The sequence below is a fragment of the Homo sapiens genome, chromosome 17, assembly GCF_000001405.40.
Source record: "Homo sapiens chromosome 17, GRCh38.p14 Primary Assembly".
In the NCBI taxonomy this organism is placed as follows: domain Eukaryota; kingdom Metazoa; phylum Chordata; class Mammalia; order Primates; family Hominidae; genus Homo; species Homo sapiens.
Genome location: NC_000017.11, coordinates 76,865,082 through 76,886,136, shown reverse-complemented (window position 1 = coordinate 76,886,136; position 21,055 = coordinate 76,865,082). Strand labels below are relative to the sequence as shown.

Genomic DNA, 21,055 nt, shown 5'->3' with positions numbered 1-21,055 from the left:
CATTACTATTTGGCTTGAGGATACATAATACGATGCCATTTGAAGCAAATCTGCCTCTCTAATTATGTTTTCCTAGGCTAAAATTGCAAATTTACTTTCCCTGAGGAAACACCAGCCATGAGTGGAAGGCGGCAGCCCAGAAGCTTCCAAAAGGGCTGAGGAAGAACAGGGGACGTGTTTTTTTTAAGCCACAGGAAATTTCTAAGTGGGGAATCCAAGTGCAGGCACCTGAGAGTTTTCTGGAAATGCAGCAGCAGGCACTCCTGCAGGATTCTTGCCGGTCTAGCTGCAGGTTGGTTAACCTGGAGTCAGGTTCAGGGTGCGGAGGGGGCAGCAGTGTTTGTGCACGGGAGCGTGTGAGCAGGCGGCTTTCACAGGCCCGGGACACACCCACCATTTCTCTCCCTGAAACCAGCAACCACAGTGTCCCTGAAATTGATGGCTCTGCCTGTGGGTGTGATGGGCTCTGCCGGTCGTGATGGATGGTTGCTATTTCCCAGGAGGGAGCTGGGAGGTGGCGCATATTCCCCCTCCCCCTACAAGTTCCCTCCTTCCCCAGGAGGAGACAAAGGGCAGGGCAGGGGAGGGAGGCACAGGCCAGGACCGGAAAAAAATCAGAGAAACACTGGATGCGCCAGCAGTACCACCCCCAGCCCAAGAAGGCAGACCTGGAGTCCAGGGGTCCACTGGACCTTCAGCTCTGCTGCCTGCAGCAATATCCTCAACAGAGACCAAAAAGGCCTGCTCCTGACCTGGGGAACAGGCCTGCGGACAGAGGCTGCATCAGAGGCACCGCTGGAGGCAGACAGGAAAGCAGAAAAGAATGAAAGAGGGGCAAAGGACTGGATCTGAGGGAGAAAGATGGAGCTGGGGGGCAGGGGCTGGATCCGAGGGCACACAGACAGTGTCAGAGAAGAAGGATCCATGCACACAGAGAGGAAAACGGCCTCATGCCTCAGGGGGATTTCCAAGGAAGCTCAGATCCCTTTGCAGGCACTCCCCATCTCCACCACGGCCTCACTGCTTCCCCTCCTGCCACCCTGTTTATCCAGTTTTCACACAGCAGTCAGAATGATCTTTTTAAAAAATAAATCCAGTAGCCCAGGCACAGTGGCTCACACCTATAATCCCAGCACTTTGGGAGGCCGAGATGGGCGGATCACCTGAGGTCAGGAGTTCGAGACCAACCTAGGCAACAGGGCAAAACCCAGTCTCTACTAAAAATACAAAACTTAGGCCGGGCGCAGTGGCTCACACCTATAATCCCAGCACTTTGGGAAGCCGAGGCAGGTGGATCACGAGGTCAAGAGATCAAGACCATCCTGGCCAACATGGTGAAACCCCGTCTCTACTAAAGATACAAAAATTAGCTGGGTGTGGTGGCATGTGCCTGTAATCCCAGCTACTCAGGAGACTGAGGCAGGAGAATCGCTTGAACCCGGGAGGCAGAGCTTGCAGTGAGCCGAGATCATGCCACTGCACTCCAGCCTGGGCAACAGTGCGAGACTTTGTCTCAAAAAAAAAAAAAAAAAAATTAGCTGGGCATGGTGGCACACACACCTGTAATCCCAGCTACTCAGGAGGCTGAGGCAGAAGAATTGCTCGAACCCAGGAGGCGGAGGTTGCAGTGACCCGAGACCGTGCCACTGCTGGTCTCCAGCCTGGGCAACAGAGCAAGCCTCCATCTCAAAAAAATAAATAAATAAATAAATAAAACCTCTTAGAAAGGGACAAAAACCAAACCACATATAACCACATATTGAATCAATCATCAAGAGCACAGTGCTTAGAAATGTGGGCTGTGGAGCCAGTTAGCCTGAACCCAAAGCCAAGTCCAGCCTCTTACAGCTGTGCAACTTTGGGTGAGTTTCTGAACTTCTCTGTGCCTCAGTTTCTTCCTCTGGGAGATTAAAGCTTCCTCCTCTGGGAGAGTAAAGATTTAATTAAATCTTTAAAGATTAAACCATAAGATGGTTGTGAGGTAGGTAAGATCTATCTTATCTTACCTATCTTAAGCTTATGCAGTAAGAACCATGCCAGGTGCTTAGTGTGTTTTGAGTAAATGTCAGCTAATATGAGGGTAATGATGCTCACACCAGGCTGGCCTACCAGGCATCCAGGACGTTCACTCAATCGGCAAGGCCAGTTAGAGGTTGGCCCCATGGCCAGCAGCCCAGCACCAGCAGGCTACATGGCAACGGATCCCACACCAGTCCACATGGGCGCACTGTGTTTCAGGCCTGACTCAGGCAGGCATCCCTCCAACCCTCCCACGGGCACAGTGACCTCCTGTGGGTCATCATTTTCTTCTGTTTCACCCAACTCCGTACTTTAGAAATGCCTAGAGCTTTGGCTTTTCCATCACACACGCTGGCTGAGAAATAGCTTTTCTGCAAATTGTCTAAAAGTGCGTTTCAAGCTTAATTTTTAGCAGCTAGAATACATTTAGCAAATCAATTTCACAAAGAACCCCAATATATAAAAGAGGGAAAGTGGAGCTCGTCTCCCTGGAATAGGGTGGGGTCAAAGCCCCTCCTTCCACATCCACCTCTAGGGGCCAGTTGGGACAGCCTGACCTCCCGCACTCCTGTTCTCTGAGGTCCAGGAGATGCCTTATATACCTAGGACACATGATTTGGATGTCACACCTCATGTGTCCCTGGGGCTTGTAGGATAGCAGCACAGACTCTGGGCTCTCAGACATCCTGGCCGAAGCAGGAGAATATTTAGAAGAAATAAACCAGAAAGTTCTACTTGGCAAAAATGGCCAGGGGTACATAGTATCCACACATGCCCCTCAACACAGAGTTCAAAATCATCATGAAAAGATTTTTTTAAAAAAGGCGGGGTGGCTCATGCCTGTAATCCCAGCACTTTGGGTGGCTGAGACGGTTGGATCACCTGAGGTCAGGAGTTCGAGACCAGCCTGGCCAACATGGTGAAACCCCATCTCTACTAAAAAGAACAGAAAAATTAACTGGCGTGGTGGTGCTCTCCTATAATCCCAGCTACTCAGGAGGCTGAGGCACGAGAATCACTTGAACCTGGGAGGCAGAGGTTGCAGTGAGCCAAGATCGTGCCACTTCACTCCAGCCCAGAGTAAGAGTGTCTCAAAAAAAAATTTTTTTTTTAATTTAAAAGGCAAAGATGTAATCCCAGCACTTTGGAAGGCCAAACGGGTGGATCATGAGGTCAGCAGTTTGAGACTAGCCTGGCCAACATAGTAAAACCCTGTCTCTTCTAAAAACACAAAAATTACCGAGGTGTGGTGGTGGGCGCCTGTAGTCCCAGCTACTCAGGAGGCTGGGGTGGGAGGATCGCTTGAACCCAGGAGACAGAGGTTGCAGTGAGCTGAGACTGTGCCACTGCACTCCAGCCTGGGTGACAGAGTCAACCAGGCTCTGTGTCAAAAAAAAAAAAAAAAAAAAAAAGGGGCAGTGGAATATGTGCTGTGAGATGCCACTTACATGGAATTTGTTAAAATCACACACTATGAATTTATAATGTGTGTGTGTTAAACATATGTGCAAATGTGCTCGGAATGGACTGGAAAAACTTACAGCAAATTCAGGGAGGCACTTGTCTCTAGGGAGAAGTCATTAAAAGGCCTTTTAGTTTTCATCTGTGACGTTTTATTTAAAGAGGAAAACAGGCCACAAATGTGACCAAATGTTAACGGTTGTTAAATTTGGGTGGTAGAAATGCACTCTGGGCTGTACCACAGTGTGGTCCAAATCTTCTCCAGATTCACAAAAGGAGATGACGGACAGCACCCCGGATGGAGTGGCAGGTGCCACCGCTCCCCTGCTCCGTGTGCCTCCTCCCCACGTCCCCTCACCTGTCTGCGGGAAAGTGCAGGTCGCCGCCGGCCCGGTGCAGCTCACTGCTGTTCTCCAGCCTGGCCAGTGCGTCCATGCGCTTCACCATCAGCTCCAGCAGGTCGCTCATCTTGCGCAGGACGCCGCGGGACTCGGGGCCCCCCATCACTGTGGGCAGAGTGTGGGTATGGTTAGGGGAGGCCCGAGCAGCCTGGAGGCCACCTGGTGTCCGAGCTGGGGCAGCTCAGACAAAGCTGGCCCCAAAGTCCCCCAGCACCAACCAACACCAGACCCCAGCCTCAGCTCCATCTTCCCAGGCACTGCTGACCCTTTTGCTGCATTGCTTTGCGGTGCAGAGAACAGCATCGTGGCGGAGTGCAGAGCCCTGGGCAGCCCCGTTGCCCACTAGCCATGTGACATTGGGATCATTTCCTAAGCCCTCTGGGCCTCAATTTTGTCAACCATAAAAAGGAACTTTAGATGTAACCTTTGAGGTGCTCTGGGGCCCAACAACCCTCATGTCCGTGAGATGGCAGAAAAGGCCCAGCACTGGGAAAGAAGCCCCAGAGCCCCCAAACGGTAAGCTCCAGGCAGGACTTCTAGATCAGGGTTCCTAGAAGTGTGGCCAATCACCCAGCAGCATCTGAATCTTCTGGCCAGGCTGTTAAAATTCAGATTTCTGGGCCTTGGTCTAGATTTGCCCATTCAACTCTCTAGGACCCGGGGCCCGGGAATCTGCACTTTCCTTGCTCCCCATGGATCCGGACATGCAGGGAAGTTGGGAGCCTGTGTTCAGGGCCCCAGGGCCCTGTTGCTTCCCCAGCCCTCCTTCTCCTGCCCGGCCTCTGGGCCCTAACTCCATCTCTTCCCCATCCCTCTTCCCTGGACCCTCCTGTTGGAAACCATAATGCATGTGTTCTGAATCTCAAGCTGGTCTTTGGATTTCCAAAGATCAACTGACAAGGGCAGGTTCCCTGGGGCTGAGGCGGCTGCTCTTCCCTCTGCTCCCAGCCTGGGGAGGGGAGACCTTATGAAGAAGAAAATTACATGAAAATGAGGCACTTCGACCAAGATCCCATCAGCCAGCCTGCAGTCCTCCACGGCTTCCTTTCTAATCATTCCCGATCATTAGCGCTGCACGTGCCAGTGTGCGGGAGCGAGTTCTCGCCTTCCTTTTTAATTAAATCTGAAGGCTTCACATTGCCCCTCCACACAGTCCATAGGGTGCTGGGCTCCAGGCACTAAAATCCGCAACTCAGCTCCTCCCAAACCCCTATGGATCAGGCTTGAAATCACTCCCCCAAAACGAGCCAAGTCACCTGGGAACATGAACCTTCGATGCTCCCAGGCTGCCAGTCCAGGGGCCCAATGGAGGATGCCGTGGGTTGGGCTCCCCAGAAGCAGAGCCTGGGACAAGGGTTTGAGGGTGAGTAGTTTAACCGGGAGCTAATGGAAACCCCAGCAGGAGAGTGAGGAAGAGAGACGGGGAAGCTGTGGAAAGCTGCACTGCCGAGAATATTACCACCCGGGCGCCCAACCTTAGCCCTGCTGGGGAGCCCTGAGACCATGTAGAACACACTGCAGTCTCCCCACCTGGGGAGGGGCAAGGGGACTGGGGCCTCTGCCCGCTGACCCCTGTGTGACCAGGGCAGTCATTGAATGGCTCTGAGCTTCAGCATCCCCGTCTCAAGGCAAGAATAACAGGCCCCGTCTGCAGACCACAGGACCAGGAAGGTGACGAGAGAGGCCACTGAGAAGAGGCAGAACAGGGAAAGGAGAGAGGGAGCTAGAGGCAGTGGGCGGAGCAGGGGCAGCCAGCGGCTTCTGCATCACCGGGGCTGCTCTCACACCTCTGCTTTGGTTCTGCCCTTCTTCCCTGGCTCTGGCTGGCCCAGCCACTGCTGCCACGTTCCCACCCTGATATAAGTCACCCCCTGGCTGGGCTCCCCTGCCAGGTGAACCCGCCTGAGGTCAGAAGGGAGGCCACAGGAGCTGGGGCGGGACCACTCACACACCTTGGAAATGCCGGCCAGGCTAGGGCTGCAAAACAGGAGAAGCTGCGATTTCCTTAAAGACACAGGGCTCCTGGCTCTGAAGAACAGGCATGAATGGGAGCAGGGGGGATGTGGCGGGCAGAAGAAAAGGAGGAGAGAGAGGCAGAGATGCCCAGGAAGGCTCACGGAGGGGGTCGGGTATTGGAGAAAATGGGCATATTTCCTCCCCACCCCAAGAGCTGAAGCAGCAAAGGACCTCCCCACAAGTCCCTCTACGGAAAACAGAGTGGATTTTCAAAAACTCAGCTGGGACCGGGAAATTTCATACTAGCGTTAGATGACACTAACTCAGGTCTCTCCAGCCTCTCAGGCCCTCCCCACGCACTCACACACTCAATCGGTTAATCTGGGCAGCCCTGGTGAGCCATCGCTCATAACTTGGGCTGGAGTAGTCCTTCTCCAAAGGAGTGGGAGAAAACAGGATATAGATAGCTCCCTCTCTCTTTCAGCTTCCCAGAGGCGGGGGCAACGGTTTACTTTTTCAGATCACTCTCGTTTCAGAGATGTCTGCCCAAGCCCATCATCCAAATTCAATACCGAGCTTGCAACCAGTGCTTGTAGCACAGAGTAGATGAAGAGATTTCCATCATTTCAGCTAAAAAAACTGGAGGACATCAGATGACCTGCCTGGCCACTGCTTTCTACAACTCCACAGGACACCACTGGTATTGTGGCCGCCTAAAGGGTGTCTGTCGTGGAGTCGTGCAGCGCACAGCCTGCGTGGCCTCACTGGGCAGCCCTGGTGGGCTGTCGCTCATAGCTCGGGCTGGAGTAGTCCCTTCCCCAAAGGACTGAGATGAAAAAAGGAATGTTTCATCCCATAAGGTGTCTCACAGCTGGGACACCATAGCGGTGCCGTGGCCAGAGCACTCAGGCCTGACTGACCACAGAGCCTGGTCAGCAGCTCGTTCCTGCAGACGCAGCACCCCAGTGGTGCTGAGCCCACAGCGTGGCTTTTGGGGTGACGCTGTGTTCCCTGGAGCGCCTTAGGCCTGGCACCCTGCCTGCTGCACTACTGGTCCCACTCTCCAAGCCCACCCCAAGCTTCCTCTGCCCCTGCCTATCGCCTGAGCCCCCTCCCAGAAACCTCACGGTCACAGCTCCCTACCCACACCCCACGCTCCCAGTCCCATTGAGCAGGCTGAAAAACAGATGATGGGCCAAAAACTATGAGGGCTGGCCTAGAGCTGCAGAGGCCCCTGAAAGTCAACAAAGTGGAGGCTGCAGCAGCAGCATGGTGGCATGGGCCCAGTCAAGGGGGATGGGGCAGAAGCCTGGACTCCAGGCCCGCTCTGCTGCGGACCAGACAGGTGAGCAGGTCACCGTCCTTCTCTTGGCCTCAATTTACCCTCATGTAAAATGAGGGGGCTGGGCTCATTGAGCTCTGAGTCTCTATCGCCCTGACTTCTGTTTCTGTGTCTTCCCCTAATTGCCTCCGGAGATTAGAGAAATGGGAAAAGAAAGAAACGCTCCTATAAAAACTGGCAGCAGGCCAGGTGCAGTGGCTCATGCCCATAATCTCAGCACTTGGGGAGGCCAAGGTGGATGGATTGGTTGAGCTCGGGAGTTCAAGACCAGCCTGGGCAACATGGCAAAACCCCTTTTCAATAAAAAATACAAAAATTAGCTGGGCATGGTGGCATGTGCCTGTAATCCCAGCTACTTTCAGGGCTGAGGTGGGAGGATTGCTGGAGCCCATGAGATTGAGGCTGCAGTGAGCCACGATTGCACCACTGCACTCCAGCCTGGGCAACAGAGCGAGACCCTCTCTCAAACAAACAAACAAAAACCCTGAGGACATACAGAGGCATGGGTCATTGCAGCCTGGGTTTCACGATGACCATGCCTGCGGAACCAGATGCCCCTTCTGTAGTTCTTCAAGCCCCACCCCATCAGACTGGACCAAGTCCCCCCGTGCCAGGGGCTCAGGAGCTGCTCCCATCTTCTGCAGATGGCATGGAACTCCAGAAACCCCTGAGACCTGGGGAGACAGCCCCTACCCCTTCCCAATGAGCCCTCGGGGTACCAGGCACATTTTGTGCTCTGGAAATGCCCAAAGACTAGGCAGGGGGTGGGTACCCAGGAGGGAAGCAGGTCAGGCCGACTCTCCCCCAGTGACCCACTCCCCTAAAAGCCACCACTGGCCCCGGGACTGTCAGCAGAGCAAGCTGACATCGCTTCCCCAGAGTCACTTCACCACTCTTGGCATCAGCTAAATTGAAATATATCTAATGTGAGGCCCCAGTGATACAACTCAGAACAGGCACACGTTCCCTCCATATTTCCATATAAATAAGGAAAGCTGGGACGCTGGGAGATACAAATAGATCCTCTCATTTACAGACGGGATGTGTTTATTACCCACCGAGGCCCCGTCTCCTCCCCAGACGCTCTTCGTCTCTCTCTGTCTCTCTCATCCTCCTTCGTCCCCCTTTTCTTGTCCCCATCCCCACCCTTTACCATTGGAAATTGAATGAGCCCCCATCTCTCCAGAAAGCAGAGACCTCCCTGGCACTGAGAAGGGAACTGTGACTGGGTGTTCGTGCAGCTGGAGAAATGCGCACATTTATCTCTCTGTACTCGCTCACCGCAGAAACCAGCTGAGGCCACGGGAGCTCTGGGCTCCGGGCAGCAGAGAAGACAAGGACAGGCCGTGGGAGGCCACACCAGGCTCTTCCTCAGACCTCCGGGCCCCGGTCCCCCATCCATCAAGCCTGAGAGAAGAGCCCCAGGGCCCCTTAGTACCAAGGGCCAGAGCCAGAGCCAGAGCCATCCACAGAGCCAGGTAGCCTTCCCCAGGTTCAATCCCTGGTGGAGGCCTGGGAGGTCTGGCAGGGCCCAGTAGACACATGCAGCTGTGCCATGGACCTTCAGCCTACAGACCCCTCCCAAAAGATAGCCTCCTACCACTACTTTTTTTTTTTTTTTTTTTTTTAAGCCGAGACAGAGTCTTGCTCTGTCACCCAGGCTGGAGTGCAGTGGCGCAATCTCAGTTCACTGCAACCTCCTCCTCCCTGGTTCAAGCAATTCTCCTGCCTCAGCCTCCCGAGGAGCTGAGATGACAGCACGTGCCACCACACCCTGCTAATTTTTGTATTTTTAGTAGAGATGGGGTTTCACCACGCTGGCCAGGCTGGTCTCGAACTCCTGACCTCAGGTGATCCACCTGCCTCAGCCTCCCAAAGTGTTGGGATTACAGGCGTGAGCCACCACACCCAGCCTCCTACCACTGCTTCTTCAAGACAAGTCAGAGGGCAGGAAACAGCCTCACAGCACTATCTGCAGCCACATGGGGAAGGAGGCCTAGGCGAGAAGGGCTGGAAGGGCAGGAAACAGGAGGAGGACCTGGGGTGGGAAGTGGGGCAGAGCTGCCTGGGAGGGGGCAATGCCGGAAAGCCCTCCCCAGAGCCCAGGCCCAGCCCAAATGCAGCAAGAGGGAAAGAAGTCAGATCTCCTCCGGGTCATGATTCCCCATGCAGCCTCCTCTCTTGAATCTTTAAGATGAGTGTGCAGAATACAGAATGAGATGTCAGTCACATTTCATCCCCAAAGTACGCAGTTTATCATGAAGTATAAACAGGCACAGAGGAGAATTTGGAGGCCCCACACATAGACCACAGTCCACAAGAGGCTGAATGACGCCCTCCTCTTCTTTTCGAGAAAAGCCTTCTCCTCCCTCTCCCTTCGCAGCCACAGTCCATGTGGGACCCCACTTCTGTCACCGGTTTGACAGGGGAGGAGAGATTGTTTTTCCCATTTGTACACAGATTGTTTTGTTGACCAATGCAATTTTTTTTTTTTTTTTCTAAATAGCAGGGCCTTAGAGGGTTTCCTTCTCCTGATTCTGCTCTGGGGTTGTCTAGACTCCGCAGATTTCTTTTGGGTAACAAAACGTGCATTATCCAACAATCCAACCTTGGCCCAGGACTTCCAAGATCCCTCCCCAGGCCTGATTCAGCCAAGCAATTTGCCAAGCACCTCCCCGTGAAGCCCTAATCCTTCCCTCAGGCATCTCCTAAGTGGAAATGCTGGTACCTCCTAGGTTTTCTGCAGGGCTGCCCCAGGCACTGCGTGGGGATGTAGTTTGAGGGGCTTCTCTTGCAGGATCAGGATGTTAAACCCACATTGCACACTGCTTTCCCGGCCTGAGTCCCTGCCTTGGGTCTGCCCAAGCAGATTAGCTTGATCCAAGGGTATGAAAGAAATCATGGAGGACAATGCGAGTCGGGATCTAAAGTGAATCAGGGTCAGCTCTCCTGGGTTCTCAGCGGCCCTTTTCTTGTCTGTCTCCTCCTTCTCCCGGACTTCAGTTCTGTATTCCAGGCACTCAGCTTCTGAGGCCTGGGAAATGTGAAAAGACTGGCTTGGATAAACTTGGTCTGAGAACTAATGTTACAACACGTAGAATCTCCACTCCTAGGTATACCCAACAGAAATGCCTACGTATGTTTACCAAAAGACGTGCACTGAAATATTCATAGCAGCACTGTTCGCAAAAGCCCAAAACTGGAAACGACCAAATGCCCACCAATGGTCGGATGGATAAAAATATGGTGGTGTACTCACACAATGGAAGGCTACACAGCAAAAAAAAAAAAAAAAAAAAAAAAAGTGCAAGTGACTACAACCGCATACAAGATAGTGAGTCTCACACATGTACTACTGAGAGAAAAGACACACACAAAAGACTACTCCTCTATTAGTTCATTCTCAACGTTGCTACTAAAGACATACCTGAGACTGGGTAATTTATAGATGAAAAAGGTTGAATTGACTCAGAGTCCAGCATGGCTGGGGAGGCCTCAGGAAACTTACAATCATGGTGGAAGGGGAAGCAAACATGTCCTTCTTCACATGGCAGCAGGAAGGGGAAGTACCGAGCAAAAGGGAAAAAGCCCCTTATAAAACCATCAGATCTTGTGGGAACTCACTGACCATCACAAGAACAGCACCAAGGTAAACCACCCCCATGAATCAATTACCTCCCACAGGGTCTATCCCACAAGAGGTGGAGATTATGGGAACTACGATTCAAGATGAGATTTGGGTGGGGATACAGCCAAACCATATCAACTCCTGAAACGATTCCATGCTCACAAAGTCCAAAAAACAGGCAGAACTCTTCTATGTGATCAGAAGTCAAGTCGTGACTATCCTTGGGTGAGTAATGACTGTGAAGTGGCATGGGGACACTTGGGGACTGATCACGTTCTGGTCCTTGCTCTGGGTTGTTAGTTGCATGGATTGTTCATTTGTGTATATGATACCCCATTAAAAAGTTTAAGACCACGTACACGCACACACACATGCACACACATGCACATGTACACACGAATGCACACACACCTCTAGTCCAATTGTATGACCTTGGGCAAGTGCTCTCCTATGTGGTTCCATCCATCTTTAGACCCAGACCTGCAGCTGGGGTTGGACCCCCACCCCCATACCCAGGCAAAACTGCATAGCACCGAGCACAGCAGGGCTCCTACACCCCTTGCACTCTGGGGCACTGAGTCTGATCCTGCCCAGATGGGGCAAGAGCCATGGGGTAGGTGAGTTACCTTGACTCTCTAACCCCCTTAGGGAGATAGGCATAAAAACCAGAGCCCGGCCAAAAACCCCTCCTCTCCCCCATCCCTAATTCCCACCTCTTAGACCCCTGACCTTTCTGGAGGTTCAACTTCCTCAAGGCCTCTGTAGCAGCCCACCCAGATAGGCACACCTCCTTTCCAGGGGTGGCAGCCAGGTAGTTTATGAATCTCTGTCTACACCCCATCTTCCCATGCACCACTTTTCCCACCAGCCCTTCCCCAAGCCACCCTTCCGGTTCACCTTCACGACTGCTCCCTCCCATCCCCACCCACCTCAATCCTCAGCCTCTCCCACACAGACACTCCAGCACCTCCTTGGTCCTCTTTCATAAACACGCTTTGCTGCAGTGCCCCCATTTCAGACTCGACACATCCATTAAGTATTGATGGAGTGCTCGCCGTTTGACAGATGCTGCTGAGGCCCCTTCCCTTGCTTTATCTTTGCACAGCCTCGCAACGAGCCTGGGAAGTGGGTATTACCATCCCCATTTACCAGAGGAAAATTTGGAGGCTCAGAGATTGAGGAATCTCTGCAAGTCAGAGACGGGATAAATTAACTTACACTCAGGCTTGAATGACTAATAAGCGTGAGATTCCTTCTGAGGGCTTTTGCAAGTTTAAAGAAGTGCATGTGAAACCAGAGGAATGAATCTAATGATGAGATGACAGATGGCATAATAAGAGCCCCTCAGCACCCACCCAGATGACAACCTATTTAACTTGGGATGTCTACAATATTCATCACTCAGAACAGGGGAGCCAGAAAGCCAAGCCCTGCAAGTTCAAGAAGGTGGACTTCAAGGAGAGACTTCCCCAGAGGGGCAGGGGAATCTCACAGAGCCAACCCTCGAACAGTTCCAGAAACCTACTTGCCTCAGTTTCCCCACTACCCCATGTCCCTCCTTTTGACCAGTGACCAAAAGAACCCCCATGATACAGTGAGCAGGGCTCAGTTCTGACCCCCACCCCTCCTTAGGTGAGATGAGGTGGGGCTGGGCCCAGCTTCAGGAGGAGGGCTCCCAGCTGGTCACTCTTGTGCCATGTGGCACCAACCATGCTGGGTAATGTCCACGTGTGAGCCCCTTCAATCCAACCTCTGCAGAAGGTCACTGCTGTCCTTCTCTGTAGGGAAGCCAGGTGACTCAGCCAAAGGCACACAGCTGGTAGGTGATGACAAGGATGCAAGCCCAGACCCACCAGACGCCCAAAGCCCATGCTCTGATCTCCATTCCACTGCCTTGCAAATATCGTGTGGGCAAGGAGTGATGGGGCCTGGGAGGGAGCTGTGTCCCAAGAGCTCAGAGATAAGACATTTAAGCCCATGGCCAGGCCCGTTCCCACATGGCCACAGCCTGGGCCAAAGGCAAGGAAATGTGTGCCTCAAGGAGACAAGTGTCATATCCAGAGACCTCTCACCCCTGACACCCAACTAAAGAAGCAACACTGGCAGCCTCTTCTGAGGCCTGGAAGACCCTGGCTTAAAGGCCCTAGCCTGGCCTGAGAATCCAGGCCAGAGGAAACCTGATGACCACAGCCAGACCAGAGCCAAAGTGCATGGAGGGTCATACGGCCCAAGCCCAGGCCCCCTCCACTCACATCCACCTACAGGGCGGCCAGAAAGCCAGGTACAGGGCTAGGCTCAGAGGCACTTCCTCTTTGACCCACAAACGCCCTCACTCATCTCACACTCCCCTTGCCCCACCAAGGTACCTTCTGTGCGGATGGTGAATGGCGAGTCCCCCAGGCGCCGGGCCGAGAACTGGCCTCCCAGAGACGTCATCAGGAAGCAGAGAGTGAAGAAGCCGATGCCCAGGACAAAAAGCCTGCGGAGAGGAAGGAGGCGGGTCAGGAGGGCAGGAAGGGCCATCGTGCCCTGACGCTCCACCACGTACCGGCTGCACAAATGTTTTACGAATGAGTGCATGAGTGAAGGAAGCAAGGGAGAATGAAAGGATGGGGGCTGAGCTCCAGACCCAGGAGGGCCCCCCCACTATAGGATAAAGAGAGCTCAACTACAAGATGCTGGCCTCGAGCCACACGAGAAACCACAAGGCAGAATGACGCACACTTAGGCATGAGGCAGGCGGGCTCTAGCCTCCAGGCAGAGCTGGTTCATTAACAGCTGCAGTCCTGAAAGTGCAGTCCCCAGACGAGCAGTCAGCATCACCTGAGACTCCTTAGAAATGCCAATGCCGGGCCCAGACCCCAAATTACTGAATCAGATACTCTGGGGTGGAGCAAGCAAGCTGTTTTAGCAAAGTCTCCTGAAGATTCCACTGCATGCTAAAGTTTGAGAACCAGTGATGGACACAGCAGGGCCTGAGGCCAGCCAGACCCCATCAATCACTCAGGCCAGCCTTGGTGCAGTGTGCAGAGGCCTTGCTGCAGCAGTCATGAGCTTGTTTGAACACCCCCCTCCACTTCCACCACTAGATGGTAAGATGTCCAGGGCAGAGCCACACGGCCCATGCCCAGGCTCCCCCCAACACACATCTCCCCTAGGCAGGCACGCCCAGGGTCATCAGCCTGCACCACGGACTGGCCAGGGTGTCCTCATACCTGTGCAAGGGGTGTCATATAGGTGTGTGTGCTGTCACACTGGGTGGGAGGGAGGGCTGGTCAGAACAGGACTCCTGTTCCTGCCTTCAACATGTAGTTATTGATTATCCAGCAGGAGCCAGGCTCTGGGGTAACCCCAGGGGGACAGCAGGGAACAAGGCACAGAACCCTTCCTTCCTCAAGTCCAGACCCAGGGTCCTGCTGCTTCCCTCATCAATCCTAGGCCCCAAACAGGCAAGCTGAGCTCACCAGCACAGCCTTGGGGCTCTTCTGGGAACTTGAACCTATCAGAGGACTTGATGAACTGGTAGAGCTGAGAGGGGCGCCCTCCCACCAACCCCAGATCAGGGTGAGGAACCCCATCTTGTGTGGAGTCAGGCTCCCTGGAGAGAGCCCCACGTCATGCCAGAGACCTCCGGGCCTTGCCCCTCCACTCCCCGCCCTCAAGTTCCATGCTTGTTTGTGTCTTTATGCAAGACTTGCTTTATGCATTTTAATCTTCATTATTTGAAACTGGCAGAGCAGTATTTAATTAAAATTTGGTCCATTAAAGAAAACATATAATTGCAGAAGGAAATAAAAAGCACAACAAAATTCCCAGCCCATATTTAAAGGAAGCTGTTAGAGATTTGGGCAGAGAAGAGGAGAACCCCAAAGCAGAGAGGGGCTTGGGAGCTCCAAGGAGAGACTCGAAGACCACACCCCCAGCAGGAAGGACAGGAGACATGATTCAGTAGGCAAGACCGCGCAAGGGACACTTTCCTTAGCGCAGAGGGACGCCTCACGGAATTCCACCAAGCCTGGGGGTGGGGCTCAGATCTTGGGGTCCCTCAGAGGAAGTCAGGTGGCTCTGGAGACAACAGCCACGGCCATGGCACAGGAGAGGTGCTGTCCCATGCTCAGGGAGATCCCAGGGGAAATCAGCTATTTGTCCTCCCAGTCTGAGGACAAGGACGGACTTCCCCCACTCATGTCTCTAGTCCCTGGAGAAGAGGCCAGGGGAGTGAAGGAGTTGTATTTAGAGCTGGGGACCTGGGCTGCCTGCCAGGATCCAACAACCCTGCTATGAGAAAGGTGTCTACCCCCTTCAGCCCAGAACCTGAAGCCCCCTAACACACCTCATCTGCATCTCCCTCTGCCAGAACCCCATCCTGGGGTTCAATGTCCCCCAAGGCAGCTGGGGGCCATTTGGAGTGGATTCAAGTTAAAATGGCTTCAGCCATCCATGTATCCACTCAAGCAACATTCCAGGGGCACCTATGGAATAAAGACCCTGCCAGCAGCCCTGGGAAAACCACAGGGAACAGGACCCCAGCCTGCCTTTGAGGATGAATAAGCTGGGGTGCTATGATTGCAGCCTGCCCCCCACCTCAACTGAAGGGACTCACTGATGGCTGCGGGTCTCCGGGCAGCCCAGGGAGACCCTGGGGTGAAGTTACACAACTTTGGGGACCCATGCACCTCCACCCCCAATCCTGCCTTCAGATAAGGGCCTGAAAGAAAACCAGGGCAGGACCAGACAGGGAAGCAGCCCTGGGTCGCGAGCACTGTCCGTGGTGCTGGGGTCTCGCGGCTGCTTCCAATCGCGCCAGGAAACACCCAGCGGCCCGGAGGGCGGGACAGGGATGGGGTCGGAAGGGGCGAGGACCCTCCAGCGTTCCCAGTCAGGCCAGGGATTCAAGGCCTTCCCTGGAGGAGCAAGGCCCTTTCCAGAGACGCCTGCTTCCCGCCCTGCTTCCCATGGGCTCCCGACGCCCCCATCACCACCCACGGCCTGCACCAGCTCTCCGGGCCTCCCGGACCCCCGGACCGCAGAGGTCCAGCCTGACCCCTGCCGTCCCCTGGGGTTGCCTCCTCGGCCCAGCAGACAGGCCCGGTGTGCTGGGAGGCGGGCTCCAGGTGAGCCACCGTCTCCCCGCCCCCATCCCCGTCTGGAGCCGGCAGGGGGACCACAGTGGGGCTGGGCCGAGACCTGGAGGGCAAGAGTTCAGGGCCCCTGCAAGCTCCGCCTTCTCGGGCTCCTTCCCGCGCCCGGAGCCCACCTGTGGCCACGTCCCGAGTCCGGCCCCCGCGCCGGGGCGGTCACTCCCCCAGCTTCCTCGCTGCCCAGCTACCCACGGGGTGACACTCGGGCCCCGCCGGGCGTCCACTGGGCAGCGCCCCCTCCCCACCCCGCTGCGGGCCGGTTCCGCGGATGCCTGGGAGGAGAGGGGGCTGCCCCGGCACCGCTGGGCCCTGGGGGCCCCTGGCTGGGTCCAGTGAGTCCCGCGCGGCCCCAGCCCTGCCTGGCCTGGGCCCCCAGGTGTTGGCCGCCCGAAGCGTGTCGCCTTCGCCACCGCCCGCCCACCACGCTCCGCCGCAGCCTCGGCTCCAGCCGCCCCGTAGCCCTGCAGCGCCGCCCCTGCCCCCGCCTCTCCGACGCCTGCGATCGGGGGCGAATCCTGGGATGAGCGAGTCCTCGCTCTAATCTCGGGACCCTCTCGTCGGAGCCAGGCCCGAGCCCCGCGGGGAGGAGAGCAGTGCCACCAAAGGCTGGGGAGAGGGTGGCACAGGCGGAGGGGTTGGGGGGTAGCCGACCTAGGGGCAGACGGGCGGGACGGGAGGGACCGGAGGGGGAGCTCCAAGGCGCCGCACACTAACTTTGCCACCCGGATGGGACCGTCCGCGGGGTGAGGAAGGACCCTGAGGGGCTGGGAAGGGGCGCGCAGGCTGGGGCAACTTTCTGGGCCCAGGACCACGACCTGGGGGTTTTCTGCCCCCATTCTTACCTCTGCACCCCGAGTCCTCTCCAACCCTGCCCAACTCGGGACAGGTCCCCGAATAACACAACCCTCCCCATCCGCACCCCGAACCCCAACGCCATCCGTTCCCCCAGCCCAGCCCCACTGGTCATCACCAGGGGTTGAAGTGTGAACCGCCCCCTCTGCCACCAGGACTTGAACGTTCGCAGGAACCGACCTCGCCCACCTCCACCCGGCGCCCCCCTGGGGAAAAAACCAACCAGGAGGGAACTTTACCGAAAGGGTCTCAGGGTGACCAGGCATCTTCTGACCATTATCTTCCCATCGGGGTTGACGGTGATCATTGTTCAAACTTGTTGGTGCGAGCAGCCGCGGGCGAGGCCGGACGCACCGTCCTGGGCCCAGCTCTCGCCGCGTCCGGGCCACGAACCCTCTGCGGGCCGAAGCCGCGTCCGAGCGAAGCTGGGAGCGCGCGGCCCGGTGGCCTCGCTGCTCAGGCCTGGGCGTGCAGCGGAGGGAGCGGCGCGGCTGCCGGAGGGCGGCGAGGGCGCCCGGCCGGGCCGTCTCTGCGTCTCCGCCCTCCCCGCTTCACATTTTGGGGACCGGGAGGCGGCGCGCCCCCAGACCGCCGGCCGCGCGTCTGCCTGCTCGGGCTCGCTCGCTGGGCGGGAAGGTGCCGCGGCGCGCAGACGGGCTCCCCGCGGCGGGCGCCCTCATCCCCGGCCCCGCGCCCTCGGTGCCGGCTAAAGGCGGCCCCGGGCCCGCGCCCCGGTCCCCAGCGCCTCCGGGCCGCGCCGATCCTCAGCCCCGCGCCGCGCCGCGCCCATGGCTCTCGACGAGGGCAACCCGCGCCCGCCGCGCGCTCTCTCGCCCGCTGGCTCCGCCGCCCGCGCTCTGGTGTCCGGCGTCCGGCCCCGCGCGACGCTACGCCCGGAGGCGCCGCATTGTTCCTCGGAGGAGGCGGCCGAGCGGCGCTGGGGCGGCCCGGGAGCTGCAGCTGCGCTTCCAAGGCGCGCCGGCGCCACCTCGTGGCCGCAGCCCCGCTGTGCGCCCTGCCCGGGGCCGTGCGGGGCTGGGACGCCGAGGACCAGCTTCGAGGACGGGCGGGCGGGGGTCCCTGCTCCTTCCCCTGAGCCAAGCAGCTTCCCAGGGCGCCACCAGCCCCGAGGGCCGAAAGCTGCTTTGGCTCCCGCAGAGCACAGAAGAGATGCGCACCCAGCGGAGACCCTTCTCTTCTGCCAGGTGCCTCCGTGGGCTTCCTCATCAGCCGCTTCCCACGATTTCGCTTGGCAACACATGCCTATCTTCTGCCCCTCCCTGGTCAGAAACTCCCGTGGCTCCTCTTTGCTTACTGATCTGAGTATAAACTCGGCCTGTGGTGCTGGGGCCCGCTCACAGAGCCAGGCGCAGGGGCGTACTGAGTTGTAGCCCCAGATCCTCCACTAGCCAGTGGGCGATCAAGTGTGCACGTCTCAGAGTCTCCATTATGAAATGATAGTGACCAGAAGCTCACCAAGGTCCCTTGCAACCCTAAAGCATGTAGGATCTCATGTCGTCTCTTAGCATCTAGGCGTCCTCCCCTCCCCCTCCTCGTACTTCCTGGCTCTGGAGATGTGTTTGCAGTTGCAGAGACAGAGACTCCTGGGAGCTCGCAGAGCCAGCCTGAAGAAAGCTCTCCGGCTTCAAAAGCACTTCCCGAGGTCATATCTGACCACCCCACCCTGGGAAGTGCCCAAAGCCTCAGTCATGTGTCAAATGACTCTGAGGGTCTTCCCAGCTCAGGCCACGATGCTGCAGCCTGGCTTATGCGAGGAGGAGACTTTATTTTCCTCCAGCTGGGCCTGGTCCCCTCCAATCCCCCATACCCAGGCCCCTTGCTGCCTGCCCTGCCCACCTCCCGGCCCCCTTCCTGGGCCATTACTCACTGGCCATGACTCACGCTCTCTGCTTTGCTGCTCCTTCTTCATCAAAATTTACCGGTGCTGAGTTCCATTATCTCACTGCCTTGCTCTCTGCTAATGTGAAAATGGGTGATAAATTGGTGTTAGCAGATATAATGTGTTACACAGGCTAGGTAACAAATTTGCATTGAACAAGGACATGCTGACCGTGCCTTTGTGCAGAAGAGTGATGAATGGTGGCCGGAAATTTGGGCATCGTGGCAGGCTGGCTAAGGAGATGTTGGAGGGCAGAGGTCTCTGCCAGGCCTGTAAATCACATCTCATGCCTGGGTGCCTACATCTGCCACAAATCCTGGCAATAAGCCATATCTACACTAAGGAATGAAATGGTCCTTCTGATTAGGTGTCTCTCTTCTGATTGGGGGTTCTTCTGATTGAGTAGGCTTAGGGGGTGGCATTTATATCTGGTTGCCATTTTAGGCCAAAGGGGAAGCCTCTTCCTCAGTGGTGGAGATGGGGTTCCCTAGAAGGCATGGCCACCTCTGGTGTGGGTCATCTGGGGAGGTGGCCTACCCTCCACAGAAGCCAGAATTTAGAAGGTAGGGGAAGGTACTCCCCTCTTCCCCTGGGCCACACACCCTTAGATCTGGACTTTGAAGTTGGAGCGGGAAAGCCTCTCTGCCATTTGACGGCTGGCTTGGGCCAGGGAGGGAAGCAAGCAGAGGACAGCCAGTGACTTTTTTTTTTTTTTTTTTTTTTTTTTGAGATGGAGTCTCGCTCTGTTTCCCAGGCTGGAGTACAGTGGCGCAATCTCGGCTCACTGCAAACTCCGCCTTTTGGGTTCAAGAGATTCTTCTGCCTCAGCCTCTTGAGTAGCTGGGATTACAGGCACGTGCCACGATACCTGTAATAAATGCCTATAAAAATGCAAAATTTTTGTATTTTTAGTAGAGACAGGTTTCGCCATGTTGGCCAGGCTGCTCTCAAACTCCTGACCTCAAGTGATCCGCTTGCCTCGGCCTCCCAAAGTGCTGGTATTACAGGCATGAGCCACTATGCTGGGCCAGCCAGTGGCATTTTGCAAGCCAGATTGTCCAGCTGCCTGTCCCTTTTGAAGTCTGTCCCCTTTTTTTGGCCTCTTGTCTGCAGTAAAGTTCAGTGTAAACAGTCCTGCTTGCTCTCCACTGTGCTGTAGGCATTAGGAGAAAAACTGTGAATCCCACATCATGCAGTCTTGGGTATAACCTCTTCATGCCTCAGTTTCCTCAACTATAAGTGGGGCTCCTTATAACCTGCTTCATAGAGCTGTTCTGAGGATTGAGCCGCTTAATGCAGGTAAGTAGCCCGTTGCCAGGACCTCCTGAGCCTTTCAAGCATGGTGGTTCTGATGGTTGTTACTGTCCGTCAGGAACAGATGCTGTTTGTGCCCAGTCCTGGTTCCCACTGCAGTCACCTCTGCAAGCTAAGAGGCAGATGACTGAGAACACCTTCAACTCTCTGCCTGAGGACTTTTTTTTAATGGCTGTGGGAATATGCTAGAACACAAAAGGGCAAGAAGAAAGGACCCTGGACAAAGGATCAACACCCTGGCAGCAGCCCTCAAGCAGTGGATAGACACCCCCACTCCCTCTTCCTAAGGGGGATACTCCGCGGCGTGTTACCCCGTGGCTCCCCAGGTTCCCAGCAAGTTTGAGCTCCAGTCACCCGTGGTGTAGCCAGCCCTGTGATGCCCCTGTGTTCACTCCCTTCCCTCCTGTCTCATTCCACTCCCCGGTCAATGTTCCTGGGGTCACCATCCAAATAAACCACTTGCAGAATCCTATTCTGAGCATCTGTTTCTGGGGGACCCACACCAAGATCCCAAGATCCTGCCTCATCGACTGGTGGTTCTCAGCCCAGATTCCAGCAGAATCACCTGCAGAATTTAGCAAAATTGTCCTTATTCTGATCCAGTACCTGAGGTGCAGCCTGGGCACGCTGGTGCATTGATGCCACAGGTTATGCCGACACAGGCAAGGTGGGGAAGCACTGTTCTAGACAAATACTTGTGGCCTCCTGAGGAGAAAGGAAAGTCTCTGGAAGCAAGCCAGAGAACAGGGGAGTAGGAACGGCGGCACCTGCTGCAGGGCCCGGCCAAGGACTGACGGTGGGCCAGGCGCCGTGACTCACGCCCGTAATCCCAGCACTTTGGGAGTCTAAGGCAGAAGGAATGCCTAAGCCAAGAGCTTGAGACAACCAGCCTGAGCAACATAGTGAGACCCCATCTCTACCAAAAACTTTAAAACTTATCCAGGTGTGGTGTCATGCACCTGTAGTCCCAGCTACGCAGGAAGCTGAGGCAGGAGGATCACTTGAGCCCAGGAGATCGAGGCCGCAGTAAGCTATGAGCGC

The 21,055-nt window shown here is 55.8% G+C and overlaps 1 protein-coding gene across 7 annotated transcripts in view, besides 3 other annotated features; it reads right to left on the bottom strand.

The window, feature by feature from the left end:
• Positions 1-17,733, bottom strand: part of MGAT5B (alpha-1,6-mannosylglycoprotein 6-beta-N-acetylglucosaminyltransferase B) — an 81,990-nt gene extending 64,257 nt beyond the window's left edge. For 5 of the 7 annotated variants that reach the window (NM_001199172.2, NM_144677.3, XM_011524352.3 and 2 more), the window contains exons 1-3: positions 17,040-17,733; positions 13,174-13,286; positions 3,839-3,986 (exon numbers count right to left, since the gene is read on the bottom strand). In NM_001199172.2, the coding sequence (NP_001186101.1) occupies positions 3,839-3,986; positions 13,174-13,286; positions 17,040-17,107 (329 nt within the window). In that variant the 5' untranslated portion in view covers positions 17,108-17,733. Of the gene's footprint in view, positions 1-3,838; positions 3,987-13,173; positions 13,491-17,039 lie in introns of those variants that run through there. The other 2 variants (XM_006721707.4, NM_198955.1) reach the window with 2 other exon arrangements.
• Positions 279-1,153: an enhancer, noted in NCBI's record as "H3K4me1 hESC enhancer chr17:74881066-74881940 (GRCh37/hg19 assembly coordinates)". NCBI's record gives its function as "activates a minimal SCP1, AML or CMV promoter by ChIP-STARR-seq in naive H9 embryonic stem cells {active_cell/tissue: H9 hESC(naive)}" and the evidence as "EXISTENCE:reporter gene assay evidence [ECO:0000049][PMID:30033119]".
• Positions 17,589-17,898: a silencer, noted in NCBI's record as "silent region_9029". NCBI's record gives its function as "represses an Ori minimal core promoter by ATAC-STARR-seq in GM12878 lymphoblastoid cells {active_cell/tissue: GM12878}" and the evidence as "EXISTENCE:reporter gene assay evidence [ECO:0000049][PMID:35858748]".
• Positions 18,236-18,530: an enhancer, noted in NCBI's record as "tiled region #12785; K562 Activating DNase matched - State 8:EnhW". NCBI's record gives its function as "activates a minimal TATA promoter and a strong SV40 promoter by Sharpr-MPRA in HepG2 cells {active_cell/tissue: HepG2}" and the evidence as "EXISTENCE:reporter gene assay evidence [ECO:0000049][PMID:27701403]".